The 11,483-nt window shown below is 58.4% G+C and overlaps 1 protein-coding gene across 8 annotated transcripts, besides 6 other annotated features; it reads right to left on the bottom strand.

Moving 5' to 3' along the window:
• Positions 1-436: 436 nt before the first annotated feature.
• Positions 437-10,934, bottom strand: FDXR (ferredoxin reductase). Of its 8 annotated transcripts, NM_001258013.4 has the most exons (13): positions 10,806-10,934; positions 10,138-10,256; positions 9,976-10,047; positions 4,724-4,816; positions 4,386-4,508; positions 4,071-4,184; positions 3,659-3,760; positions 2,764-2,871; positions 2,420-2,504; positions 2,088-2,287; positions 1,836-2,007; positions 1,016-1,186; positions 437-887 (listed from the first exon to the last, which is right to left on the bottom strand). In NM_001258013.4, the coding sequence occupies exons 1-13, from the start codon at positions 10,882-10,884 to the stop codon at positions 757-759; spliced, it is 1,569 nt and encodes a 522-aa protein (NP_001244942.2). In that variant the 5' UTR covers positions 10,885-10,934; the 3' UTR covers positions 437-756. The 8 variants fall into 8 exon arrangements, 7 of the variants coding, with proteins under 7 accessions (NP_001244942.2, NP_001244943.2, NP_077728.3 ...); NR_047576.3 differs by lacking the exon at positions 10,138-10,256 and having other exon boundaries at positions 4,724-4,819; positions 9,976-10,073; positions 10,709-10,934; NM_001258014.4 differs by lacking the exon at positions 10,138-10,256 and having other exon boundaries at positions 4,386-4,484; positions 9,976-10,073.
• Positions 10,286-11,186: an enhancer, noted in NCBI's record as "H3K27ac-H3K4me1 hESC enhancer chr17:72868471-72869371 (GRCh37/hg19 assembly coordinates)". NCBI's record gives its function as "activates a minimal SCP1, AML or CMV promoter by ChIP-STARR-seq in primed H9 embryonic stem cells {active_cell/tissue: H9 hESC(primed)}" and the evidence as "EXISTENCE:reporter gene assay evidence [ECO:0000049][PMID:30033119]".
• Positions 10,286-11,278: a biological region, named in NCBI's record as "Sharpr-MPRA regulatory region 86".
• Positions 10,674-10,803: a silencer, noted in NCBI's record as "silent region_8945". NCBI's record gives its function as "represses an Ori minimal core promoter by ATAC-STARR-seq in GM12878 lymphoblastoid cells {active_cell/tissue: GM12878}" and the evidence as "EXISTENCE:reporter gene assay evidence [ECO:0000049][PMID:35858748]".
• Positions 10,844-11,073: a silencer, noted in NCBI's record as "silent region_8946". NCBI's record gives its function as "represses an Ori minimal core promoter by ATAC-STARR-seq in GM12878 lymphoblastoid cells {active_cell/tissue: GM12878}" and the evidence as "EXISTENCE:reporter gene assay evidence [ECO:0000049][PMID:35858748]".
• Positions 10,984-11,278: an enhancer, noted in NCBI's record as "tiled region #86; HepG2 Activating non-DNase unmatched - State 1:Tss, and K562 Activating non-DNase unmatched - State 1:Tss". NCBI's record gives its function as "activates a minimal TATA promoter and a strong SV40 promoter by Sharpr-MPRA in HepG2 and K562 cells {active_cell/tissue: HepG2 | K562}" and the evidence as "EXISTENCE:reporter gene assay evidence [ECO:0000049][PMID:27701403]".
• Positions 11,234-11,463: an enhancer, noted in NCBI's record as "active region_12721". NCBI's record gives its function as "activates an Ori minimal core promoter by ATAC-STARR-seq in GM12878 lymphoblastoid cells {active_cell/tissue: GM12878}" and the evidence as "EXISTENCE:reporter gene assay evidence [ECO:0000049][PMID:35858748]".

Here is an 11,483-nt window from a genome sequence, read left to right on the forward strand (position 1 = left end):
GCACTATTTTTAAAGGCCAGTGTGTCTGACTGGAAACGGAAGCAGGAAGGCTTTGAGAGCCAAAGAATGGGCCCCAGGCTAGACTCGCCTGGGGCACCCAGAGGTACAGGGGACAAGCTGCTTCTCAGTCCCCCGCTCCCATTTCTTTTCTGTTTTGATTGTACTGAGGGCTCCCCAGGGAGGGGTGGTCCCGGTCCCGGTCCCGGGCAGCCCTAGTGTGGACAGAAGACAGGCAACCCGCAGCCACAGCAGGGCCGAGCGGAGAAAGGAAGGGTGGCTATGCCAGGCCTGGCTGCCGAGCCCCATCAAGCCCCCAATGAGGCCCCTGAGCAGGGAGCCGTCTCTGCAGCGCCACCTGGTGATGGTAGGGGAGCTACGGCCAGAAGGTGACCCCCGACCCCAACCCTTCCAAAAAAAGTCCCCCATCAACCATGGCTCTTGGTTGCAGCTGTTTTATTTCCAGCATGTTCCCAACCTGGTGACCCTCCACAGTCCAGCAGTAGAGAGATGGGTAAGGGGTTAGATCGGCCCACACCTCCACCTGTCCCTAAGGTTACCTCAGTTGCTGAAAGCTAAAACCTTGCGCGCAAGGGCGACCTTCCCCAGGAGGGAGGAGAGACGCTGGAAGAGCAGCCAAGCCTCCAAGCCAGGGCCGGCCGGGATCAGCAGAGGTGCAAAGTCCCACTCAGACGGACCCAGCCCTTCCCCTCCCAACACTCATCCCTTCCCTGCTGGGGGCCGGGGCTGGGGCTGGGCTCAGTGGCCCAGGAGGCGCAGCATCTCCTGAGGATCCACCAGCTTCTCCCTGGGCTTCCCCGTGCCCTGGCCCCGGGCCACCTCCTCGGCATCCAGCTTCTCCCAGTCTGAGAAAGAGACTGGCCGGACCCCTGAAGCAGAGGGGAGATTGTCAACACCTCCTCCTTCACCCCTCCCAGAACAGCCCCCTCCCAAAGAGTGAGGCCCAGAGAAGGACCACCCACCCCACCTCCCAGGACCTCAGCATCGGGGCCCAGACCTCGGCTGCTGAGCAGGGCCTGGATGGCTGCGTAGCCAGGCCTGGGGCCAGAGGGGAGCAACCCAGCCTTCAGGTCCTGCAGCAGCATCTGGCCGGTGAGGAAGCTGTCAGTCATGGTTGTGGCTATGACACCTGTAGGTCCTCTCTTCACCCAGCCGCTGCAGTAGAGGCCTGAGAGGGGGTAACAAAAGGGGAAGGGAGGGAGGTGGCTGGATACCACCCTGGCCATCCTGTGCCCACAATCTACACCCACGTGCACGCACACAGACACCCCACGCCTCTTGGCAGACTGTCGGCTGAGCCTGCTGTGGCCGCTGGTCCACTGCCCTGGATTCTTCTCTCCCTGTTTTTACCAGGCCGACCCCCTTACACCTCAGTTTCCCTGTAGATGAGGGGATCCCTAAGCTTAGGAGCTGAGGCTTGCTCCCCTGCAGTTTCAGTAGGCCCTTGGTAAATGTTTACCAAGTGAATTAATCACTAGATAGGTATGTGGGCACTTAGTAAAACTGGAAGCTCCCTGAGGACACAGGCTGCCTTATTAATCTCCAATCCCAGCACTAAGCACAGGGCCTAACCCAGAAAAGACCTCAGTAAACGTTTGTTGAATGACTTAATGACCCGACGTATGTCACATATGTCCTAGCCAGACTGGAACTTCTCTCAGGGCCAAGAGGAGGGCGGCACTGGGTCCTAGAGAGGGCCTGCCCTGCAGAAGCTTCTCAGTACATGTTGCTAGATGAATGAACGCATGGCCCCAGGAGATACCAGCTTCTCGGCCTCTCACCATAATTCAGCACCCAGCCTCCTCACACCCTCTCACCTGGCACATCCATAACCCGGCCCTCCACATTGGGGATGACCCCAAGCTTGGAGTCAAAGGGCACGCTTGGGTCGACAGGGCGGCTCTTATACCCAATGCTGCTGAGCACCAGCCCACAAGGGAGGTCTTCCATGTCTCCCGTGGGCACTGCACGGGTGGCCTCATCGACACCCTGTTGGGGAGAGTGTGGGCAACACCAGGCGGGTGGCAGAGGCCTGGGAAGGGGGTGTCTTTGGGAAACATGAGACTCACCTCCAGTCTAGTGACTGCTAGGCGGACACCTGCTGCCCGCCGCCCATCTGGTGAGGGCAGCACCTGCTGGGGGCTTCGGAAAAAGCGGAGGCCCCAGGCACGGGAGGCCGATGCCTGGCGGGCAGCTTCCGCCGGCCCTGGCTTCTCTGTGGCCGTTCGAAGCAGCAGTTCCGTCAGCCGCTTCCTCGGGCGGGGGACCTCTGTCAGCAACGTAGAATGTCTCCAGGCTGTCCCTGGGCCCCGGCCCTCTCCCTGCATGCCCTTCCCCAATCCCTCTCTGACCTAGGCCACCCTCTCCCTAGTAGTTGGGGGGCCAGGCCAGGGCCCCTCACCCTTGATCTTGTCCTGGAGACCCAAGAAATCCACAGGATCCAAAATGGGCCGGGCTCCCGGTAACTGAATCATCTCCCGAAGCTCCTTGAAGGTGGGAGCAGGGAATGGGGGAGGAGGTCAGGCCCAGAACACAGTCCACCTGAGCCCACCCCAGGGTCCAGCCCAGGCAGGAGAGACCACCACCCGCCTCCTCCCCAAAGGCACAGGGCCCCCGGGGCCCTGACTGCTCCCCTTCTTCCATCCCAGGCAGCAGCTACTCCCAGGGGCTCTGCCCCACCCCAACCCCTTAAGGAGAGGCCCCCTCCACCTGGAACCCTGGCTCCTCCCACTCTGGCCCCAGCACCTTAATGGTGAAGGCCACTTGCAGGGGTCCACGCCGGCCCACTAGCCACACTGTCTTCACTCGACTCTGCCTCAGTACACCCAGGGCTGCCTTCGTGATGTCCGTTCTCTGGCACAAAAGGAGGGCCTTGGAGTCATCAGACACTGACCGAGGAAAGGGGACTCTCCATTTGGTCATGTCCCCACCGTGGGCCTGGAGAAGGCTGGCGGCTCAAAATTGCGCCACTGCTCCCCCCTGGTGGCCAGATGGAGCATTGCTGCCAACTCTGCAAATGGCTCCAACTAATAGCACACCAGGCCCACACTTTCATTCAACAAGTATGTAGTGGGCCTCTACCATGTGCTCACCCCCATGCAAAGAGCTTGGAGGGGCGGGGTGGTCAATGGTGAGGAAAAGAGACAAGGAGCAGGCCCTCTCAGAGCTTGTGATCTGCTGGGGAGAGAAATACTCATCAAATACTCATCAATGTGTGTAAAATTGCTGTGGCGATGATATGCGGTGAAACAGAAGTAGACAGGTCTATGGGAGGAGGCACGATGGGGGAGTGGACCAATTCAGGGAAGTCCTGGAGGAAGGGACAACCGAGCCAAGATCTCAAAGATGAACTTTAACTGTTAACTGGTGGGAGGTGAGTGGGGATGATCCAAGCAGGGGATGTGGCTTACTGAAGAGTAAGAGAAAAACGCCACTTAGCTGGAGTGCAGAAAGTGAAGGGAAAATGGTAGAAGAGGAAGCTCATGGCACTGCCCTTCAGAGAGCCTCTGCCTGGGCACCACGGGGAAACAGAGGCACTGAGCCCAGCTTGGAGAGGTAAGGCCTGAACCCTGCAGACAAGGGCACTCTCTCCTCAGGGTGACCCCACCTCCAACCCCGCCAGCCCTGACCTACCACTCACCTCCAGGTGCTCAGGTGGGGTCAGTAGGATGCGGGCCACGTCCAGAGCCACGTTCCCCTGCCCCAGAATCACGGCTGTGTCACAGCTCAGGTCTGGCTCCAGCTGGAGGGGAAAGGTCTTGATAGGGTCCCCCAGCCTCGCTCCACTCAGTTCATCTCAGTCTGCAGGTGCCTCATGCCTGGTCCCCACTGTGCCCTGGGGCTTCCCCACACCGGGAAAGTCCACAACTCTGGTCCCTCCTCCCCCACCTGGACCCAGCTCTCCCCCGAGGCCCTCCACAGCTGGCCTCCCGCCTCAGTCAGCACAATGTCACAGCTCGCCACTGGATGGCAGCTCCCTCTTCCCCCAGGTCTGGCATCCAAGGGCTGAGGGGCGGGGAGGAAGAGGCAGCGGGCGTGCTCCCCATACTCACCTCCTGGTTCTCAGGAAGCCCGTTGTACCAGCCCACGAAGGCCCGGGCGGAGCACACACCTGGCAGCTCCTCACCAGGAATTTCCAGGGCCCGATGGTCCTCTGCCCCGTAGCTCTGATGAAAGATGGCAGGCCCGAGACCCACAGCCTTCAGCACCAGCACTGATAGGCCGGGCAGCCCCCCAGGCTCCCAGCGGCCTCCTTCCAGCTTCTCAGCAGCTTGCATCCTGGCCTCACCCCTGCTGCCTTCCACCCCGAGCCACCGGCCTCCTTCTGCAGCCCCTGCCTCCCCAAGCCAGGGCCTAGCTGCACTCACCAGCACCACAGCGTGGTAGGCCTCCTGCAGCTCCGGCACCGTCACGTCCCTGCCCACCTCCACGTTGCCCCAGAAGGCACAGCGGCCAGAATGGGCCGTCTGGGTAAATGTGTTGATGACATTCTGCCAGGTCCCCCGGGAATGGGAGGGGTTAGAGGGTAAGGCAGCTCCAGGGACCAAGTCTGCACCACCCTCACCACTCTGTGTCCCCAGGAGGGAAGCTGGGTGGCATGGGCACAGACGGCATGAAGTCCTGTCATCCAGCCAGGGAGCCTCCCTGCCCTCCTCATCTTGACCAAAGTCTCCAAACCCCAGCCTCCAGGCCCAGAGACACCCACCTTCACCTCGGGGTGATCAGGCGCCACACCAAAGCGCACCAGGCCAAAGGGCACAGGCTGTTTCTCGTAGATGTCCACGTGGGCCTGGGGGTGCTGCTGGGGAACAGGGTGGCAGCTGGTGGGGCCGAGAGAGAGAGGCTGGGACGCCCCCAGGTCCTCCCCTTCCCCAGACAGAGCAGGAGAGTTCAGGACCCTGGGCTGAGAACACAAGGCTTCCACCCTCTGCAAGGAAAAAGAGCACTCACTCCTTGGGTGGCTCGCGCCTGTCAGCCCAGCACTTTGGGAGGCTGAGGCAGGTGGATAACCTGAGGTCAGGAGTTCGAGACCAGCCTGACCAACATGGTGAAACCCTGTCTCTACTAAAAATACAAAGATTAGCTGAGCGTGGTGGTAGGCACCTGCAATCCCAGCTACTTGGGAGGCTGAGGCAGGAGAACCGCTTGAACCCAGGAGGCAGAGGTTGCAGTGAGCGAAGATCGCGCCATTGCACTCCAGCCTGGGTGACAGAGCAAGACTCTGTCTCAAAAAAAAAAAAAAAAAAAAAAAAAAAGACGACGACGGCCGGCCCTCAGAGATGGGGAGAAATGTGGCCAGCTGACAAGGCCGTGGCTTCCCCCGACTGGAATTATATCAGGGCGGCTTCTTTATCTTCTCAGGTCAAGCACAACCCACAGCCCTGGCCTCCAACCCTTCGACACTTGGGACCCTCAGGTCCCAGCCAGTCTGAGGACCTGAGGGCCACCCTCTGAATTCACAGGTGCCTTAGCTCTAGTGCCCAGGACCATGCTCTGGGGAAAGGGGAGCAGCAGGACAGGGAGGGGGCACGGCTGGGAATTCACGGGAAAGAGAGGTGGAAATGGGCCTGCTCCCACTCTTAGAAAGACAGTCTCAGGCACTGGTTCTGCATGACCGCCTTCCCAGGGCACCTTGAGAGGCCGTGTGAAAGGCACAGGGTCGGGGGTCCAGCAGGCAAGTCTGGTATGGCTCTGCCACCAACCAGCCACATGATCCCAGCAAGTCCCAGGGCCTCCCCAAGTCTCAGTCTCCCCCTCTGCACACTAGGATGGATGACAGCTCTCTCTCATGGCTGCTGGAAAGCACCAGGAGGTCAGGATGGTGAGACTCTGGGCCACAGGCCGGTTAGCAGTAAAGCAGTCAGGGGTCCCACAGCTGACACGCCCAGCCCCCCATCCTATCTTAGGTCCCCGCTATGACACCTCCAGCTTCACTGGGACTCAAGGCAAAGAAGCCCCTGCCCATCAGTCTCCCTACCCCCAACAAAGGCTCCCACCCACCTCTTCGCCTTTGCCCAAATCCCCCCTTCCCCTCCACTCCCCTGCCTGCACCCAAGTCCACCCTCCCCCACCTCCTGCCTCTCTCCATCCCAGGCCAGCCACAGGGGGCTACCCAAACCACCTCCCTCAAGCCCCACGATGTTGTACCCACAAAGCGCTCTGGGCTTGGAGTCAAACAGGTAGCCTTGGATGCCAGTCCCAGCTCTAGCACTAGCTGGCTCTGTGCACTGGGGAAAGTTTCTTCTCTGTCCAAAAGAAGAGCCCTGTGGTGTCCTGCTCAAGGTTAAATGAGTAATCAGGCAGCCCGGGGTGCAACCTACTCTGAGTGTTCAATCAAGAAGAGAGCTATCATTACTATTCTGTTGTTGTATGTCACTGCCTTGCTCAAAAATCTTCGCTGGGGCCCAGTGCCACAGCATAAAGTTCAAACTGCTCGGCCTAGAGGTCAACACCTCACCCAACCAACCTCTCTGTCCTTATCTTCCATTCTTTCCTGCGACAGATCCTTCACTCTGGGTCACGATGTCCTCTCCAGGGCCACCTCCGGAACGCTAAGTCTGCCGGATGTTCTTACCCCTTATCTCTCGTGGCTGACCTCATCTTCCAGGTTTCCTCCTTCCTTCCTTCCCTCCCTCCTGTCCCTCTAGCTGCTCCCCGCTAACAAGGACATTCTCTGAGGTTCTTCCGATTGGCCCCCCTCCCTCCTCCCTGAGGATTTAACCCACTCCCTCCTGCGACCCCAAATTCCCCTGAACTTGCTGATGACTTTCTACTCTCTCTCTCCTGCCCAGACATCTCCCCAAGCTCCAAACCTGAGACCCTTGGATGTCCCACCCCAGACATCTCAAATCCATCCAGTTTCAAGCCAAGTCCCCTTGCCCCAAACCGCTCCCCACTTCTGCTCCTGTTCCCTCGACCCCATCCACTCAGAGCCCAAGCTGGAACCTGGGGCTCCTCCCTGACCCCCGACCTGATCCCATCAATCCCCCATCCTCCCAGTCCTCTTCCTCACTACAACCCCAGCAGCTCCCCACTGCTATCTGGCCACCAGCCCTGCCTGGACCTACGCTGCAGGCAGAGGGGGCATCCTGAAGGAAAACAGCAGCCCGAAAACTCTCCAGTGAAGCCAACCATCTACAGCTGTGGGCACAAGAATCCTTCGGGGTGTTTAACATTGCTGACTCTTGGGCCCAGCCACAGAGTTTGATTAGGTCCAAGTTAGGCCCAGGAATGTGCATTTTGATAAGATGCCCCGGGAGACTCTGATCAGGGAAGAGGAGGCAGCTGTGGACACCTCCCAGCGAAACCTGCCTCCAGAGCCTGGTCAATGGCTTCCAAGCCCCCCAGGATCTGGGTCCTACCTACCTCTCAGCCTCGGCTCTCACCTCCTCACGCCTTACTGCACACAGGCACCTTCCAGAACTTGCCCTTTCCCCAGAGAGCCATTCTCTTCCTCTTTGTTCACGCAGTTCTCTGTGCCTGGGACACTCCTGCTATTGTCCCCCAACCTGACATCTACTGTCCTTCAGACTGCAATTGGGACATCTCTCCCTCCAGACTGGGCATGGACCCCCTCCCCGCACCCCAGTCTCTGTGCTTATAGCCGTCAGAGCCCTAAAATACCTTGTAAATTATCCACCTGTCCCCTCCACATTCGAATGTCAGGTCCTCGAGCACAGGGACCACGTCTGTCCTGTTCACCCCCATGTTCCCAGTAAAGCCTGCGCCCAGAACATGTTACGTCCAGTAAATGATTACTGAATGGATTAACATGGATGGCCTCACATGGAGCTGCCTTCGCTCAGATCCCAGTGCCATCCCTGCTCCACGGTGGAAGCTTGGACAACCTCACTTGGCCCTAGCATCCTTACCTGTGAAGCAAGAGGCACGACACCTGCTTTGCAGGTTGTCATGAGGATGCTACGAGATGCTGTGCTCAGTGCCTGACTCAAGCTAAGGGCCACTGTCCCAAACGTGCTGCATGTGGTCCTGTCTTAGGAGCACAGCCAGTAGCTTGGAGCTCCCTGTGGGCAAAGATCAGCCCAAGGATCAGAACAAGGATTGTACCTGGCCTGAGCCCCTCCCCATCCCATTCCACAAGGAAAGCATGTGCACGTGTCTGCCAGCTGAATACAGTCGTGCTAAGAACACTGCCTGGCCGGGCGCGGGGGCTCACGCCTGTAATCCCAGGACTTTGGGAGGCCGAGGTGGGCAGATCACTTGAGGTCAGGAGTTCAAAACCAGCCTGATCAACATGGTGAAACCCTGTCTCAACCAAAAATACAAAAATTAGCTGCATGTGGTGGAGTGCGCCTGTAATCCCAGTTACTCAGGAGGCTGAGGCAGGAGAATCGCTTGAACTTGGGAGATGGAGGTTGAAGTGAGCTGAGACTGTGCCACTGCACTCCAGCCTGGGCGACAGAGCCAGACTCCATCTCAAAAAAAAAAAAAAAAAAAAAAGAACACTGCCTGGAAAGCTTACTCTCCTCCCTTCCAAAATGTCAGGATCAGCTAAAAAAAAACTGTCCCTTATACAAAGCCCTTCAGGGCCTCTCCAGCCCCCATGTGCTCCCTGATCTCCATCCCAGAGCCCAGGCTGTCCTCCCTCCCACATGGCAGCGTGCCCAAGGCCTTGCATTCCAGGATGACTCCCCACATGTGGGAGGCCCTCACCAAAGCCCTTGGTCTGCTTCAAGGCAGCTCAAATGCACTGTCTCTCTTTTTTTTTTTTTTTTTTTTTTTGAGACAGGGTCTCACTCTGTCGCCCAGGCTGGAGTACAGTGATTTGATCTTGGCTCAGTGCTACCTCCACCTCCTGGGTTCAAGCGATCCTCCCGACTCAGCCTCCCAAGTACCTGGGACTACAGACCTGTGCCACCACACGTGGCTGATTTTTCTATTTTTAGTAGAGATGGGGTTTCACCACGTTGGCCAGGCTGGTCTCAAACTCCTGACTTCAAGTGATCCACCTGCCTTGGCCTCCCAAAGTGCTGGGATTACAGACATGAGCCACCTGGGCTTCCGGCCCAGGAAACAGTTTCTGATTGACCCCACCTGCCTCGGCTCACGCTGCCCACATTATTGTAATTAGCTCTTTCACCCGTGTTGCCTGGGAAGCATGCACGGGTCACTTTTCAGCAGAGTGATCAACTCATCCCAGTTTCCCAAGAACTTCCAGCTTAGCGCTGAAGCCCCTTGTCCTGGGCAGTCCAGGCCAGTTGGTCACCCTACATTTCAAGCATCTGTGTGTGTGTGTATAATTAAGATATTCATCCTTTCTCTTGTCTCTCCACGGACACTCCAAGCCTCTCCAAAGCTAGGCAACTGTCTCACGTCTCAGTTAACCTGGGTATCCCCTCTCTACTCTGTCCCAAAGTCTGATGTGGAGTCTCAAGTAGAACCTGTAGCCTTGGCTTGGGGCCCTTCCTGCCGAGGCAGACACTGAAAGCCTTGAGATCCTGGCCTTCACAGGGGAAGGGGGAGGGGCAGAGGGCAGGCTGAAAGAACAGAATGGCACGGAGGACTGGAGCTATGGGTGAGGAGGGCATGGCAAGGCAGGTAAAGTTACAGAAAGCGGAGGAGGTGGGTAGCCTCGAGATGTAGGATGTTTGGGATAGAGTGAAGATAGACGAGAGAGGAGGGAAGATGAAGGAGGACAAAGTCATTTTGCAGGTCTACATAAGCCCCCTGGAGTGCTTGGCCAGGGAGGCAAAGCTGACCACCTGCCACTGACCACTCACCACCAATGTGCGTTTTACACCCCTGTCACACTGAGGACGGGAGGGGAGGGGAGCCTCAGGTGTAGGTGAGGAAGCAAGTGGGAAGTGTCCAGGCCAGATGGCTGGGAGCCCCTTCCCCATAAGGCAACCAGGAGTGCTCTTAAAACCCAAAGCGGGTGAGGCTTGCCCTTAGGACTGGAGCAGCAGGTGAATGATGGACTATGAGTAAGTGGCTTACCTTTAGCAGGTGTTGGGCCGTGTAGAAGCCAGCTGGGCCACTGCCCACCACACAGATCTGGGGGGTCTTCTCCTGTGTGGAGAAATGGTGGCAGAAGCCTGGGGCCAGGCAGAGGAGAGGGAAAAGGTCAAAATTAACTTCTCTCCCCAGTCCCAAACCAACCTGAATATCCAACAGAAGCTGGAACTTCCCAAGCTTCACCCTCACCTGCATCCTCCTTCTCTTGTTCCTCAAGGCTTTGGCATTTGCAGGGTCTCTTACTTCATCTGAACCCCCAAAGGCTGTGGGTTCATCCAGAGCCCACATCTCACCCATGAACCTACTACACCACTGCCAATGGCCTGCCCAACAACACTTCATTCCCTATCCAATCGGCTAGAATCCCACATCCTTCCAACGGCCTCCATATCATCCCAATCTCGCCCCCGTGGGTCTCCCCACGGTGTCCCTCCTCTAACCCCTCTCTCTCTCCACAAAACGCTATATTGCCCATATAGACCCGTCTTATTCCTACAGATCCCTGTTTCGACTCAGACTTTCCTCTCGCCCCACAGACCTCCGTATCATCCTCCATTCACCCCGTCTCACACCTGTAGATCTCAAAGTCTCTCCTTTTCACCTTTGTTGACCTCCGTCTCTAACCCTAGAAGCCTCACATCTCACGCACAGATCTCCGCCCACCCCCGTACACCACCGGGATCTCGCCAGCAGGAAGACACCCCTTCAGTCTCACCCTTCTCCAGCCCTGCCCCAGCTCTGCTCCGACCCCTACTCAGCGCTCGCAGGCCTCCCCGCGCTCCCATCCAGCCCCAAAGGCGCCCTGCTCCTACTCGGGGTGCTCCCGGCGGGAGGCAGCCGGGTCCGAGGCCACGCCGACCAGCCCCACCAGCGCCAGCAGCGCGAAGCCATGGCTGGGAGCAGCAACCTGCAAGTGGATCTGTTCCTAGCTACTGCTCCGCAGGGCAAGCCCGCTCCTGCCCGGGCCCGCCCACAAGCGAGGCCCCGCCCCAAACCCCGCCCCCTGCGCTCCGGGAAAGCGGAGCCTTGCGGCTCCACCCCGACTCCCGAGAGAATCCCGCCCCCAAAAGAGAGACCCGCCCTTAACTACGCCCCACCGTCGAAGCCCCGCCCCTCGGAGCATCCGGGGTATACGCGATTTAATACATTTCTCCCCAGGCCTCACCTTCCCTCCAAATCCCGGAAGCCTAGGGTTGGAAGAGAGCGAATCCCCATCGCTGTTTCAGTCCCTCCCCAAGGAAACAGCCACTAAGAAAGGAGCTTATTTTACTTAGCCGCGCCCCTCTCGGGAGGCTCTCGTCGCTCACTGATGACGCAGACGCCCTTGCCATTTGATTGCGAATCCTCCCACGTGACTTCGTCCTAGCCAATCACGAGTCCGGCTCCAAGCGAGCCTTCCCGCCGTTGGGAAATAACCAGAGTGCGGAAGTCTGGGGCGAGGGAGCTCCTTCCCGGAGCCCAGCAGCCTCCTTCTTCGACCCCGGGTGTTG

Source organism: Homo sapiens, chromosome 17 (genome assembly GCF_000001405.40).
Source record: "Homo sapiens chromosome 17, GRCh38.p14 Primary Assembly".
In the NCBI taxonomy this organism is placed as follows: Eukaryota; Metazoa; Chordata; class Mammalia; order Primates; family Hominidae; genus Homo; species Homo sapiens.